The sequence below is a fragment of the Homo sapiens genome, chromosome 3, assembly GCF_000001405.40.
Source record: "Homo sapiens chromosome 3, GRCh38.p14 Primary Assembly".
NCBI lineage: Eukaryota > Metazoa > Chordata > Mammalia > Primates > Hominidae > Homo > Homo sapiens.
In genome coordinates, this window is record NC_000003.12 from 182,121,041 (window position 1) to 182,122,281 (window position 1,241).

Consider the following 1,241-nt stretch of genomic DNA (forward strand, 5'->3'; position numbering starts at 1 on the left):
ATGACCTTGCAGCTATATTGTACTGTTTCTATTAGAGCACAGAGACAAGTATTTTTCCTCCTTACATCTTGGTTGGAGCTTCCCAGCATGCTTTGCAGCACAGAGTGTAACAATAGTCCACTCTCAAGGGAACAAAAGCTGGGATAACTGTGTTGTGTACCTTGGTATTATTTGCGTAGCCAAATAAAGCTATCTTGCTACAGATGTAACCTTCGATAATTTATTGATGTAAAAGTGGCCTCAGGTACCAGGATTTTGGCAGCTGTTACACTGTCAGAGTACACTTAGAACATGGCATCCATGAATATTTTATGCAGAGAAGAAATGGAAAAATACACCTTTCAATATATCAGTTCCCAACCCTGATCTTCGTTACTGAAATATGAATCTAATCCCATCTCTGAATTTGATCAACCAAAACTGTGCAAACTGAGAGCTTCCTAAATTGGATTTTAGTAGTGAATTGATTTGAGCCCTACTTTTTGTTTAGCACATCAGCTGCTTATGTCAGCCTGTACTGTAGTGGTGGGTTAGTGACCTCAGTGATATGTTGGAAGCTACAGACTTAACTGTCAATAGGATTGGCTTGGCCCTTTATCCTTCAGCGGCAGATAAATAGAGCCCCATTCAGTAGGTTCATTGTGTAGGGATTTGTTGGAGTTTTATTTATGCAGATTTGGAAGCAGTTGGAGATCATCAACATCCAATACACCCTCTGTCAAATATTTCTCTTCCATTGTTGGGTTATTAAAATATGGGTTGGGAGGTTGGGGGATTCTGTCCTTTTTAGAAGCAAATACTTTTTTAAAAATAATCAAAAGAGCATTTTTTTTATTTTGTATTTTTTGGTATCTAGGGTATCTCTGAGTAGTCGATTTTTGATCTCTACCCATCCTCAAAACTGAAAACCAGTCCTCCATTTCTCCAGGGCTTACCTTTTCATCACTTGAAGACCAGTGGTTACGTGATTTGGACCCACTGAGGAACGTAGAATGATATCAGTTCAAAAGTATTGGATACCTGTGGAGCACTTTGCAAGATATTGCAGGATTTTTGGGGCTTTCTATAGAACTACACAGAAGTATTGCTGAGTACTTTGCAATATGAATTCCTGCAATTTGCAGGAATTTGCCACGCTTTTCAGGTGATCATGCTTGGTAAGTGCTGCATTTTTATCTCAATTGATTTGATTTTGTGCTTTCATTATATCATTGCATTTAGGTTTTGCATACTTTGGGGTT

The 1,241-nt window shown here is 38.4% G+C and overlaps 1 annotated feature.

Moving 5' to 3' along the window:
* Nucleotides 321-822: an enhancer, noted in NCBI's record as "NANOG hESC enhancer chr3:181839149-181839650 (GRCh37/hg19 assembly coordinates)". NCBI's record gives its function as "activates a minimal SCP1, AML or CMV promoter by ChIP-STARR-seq in naive H9 embryonic stem cells {active_cell/tissue: H9 hESC(naive)}" and the evidence as "EXISTENCE:reporter gene assay evidence [ECO:0000049][PMID:30033119]".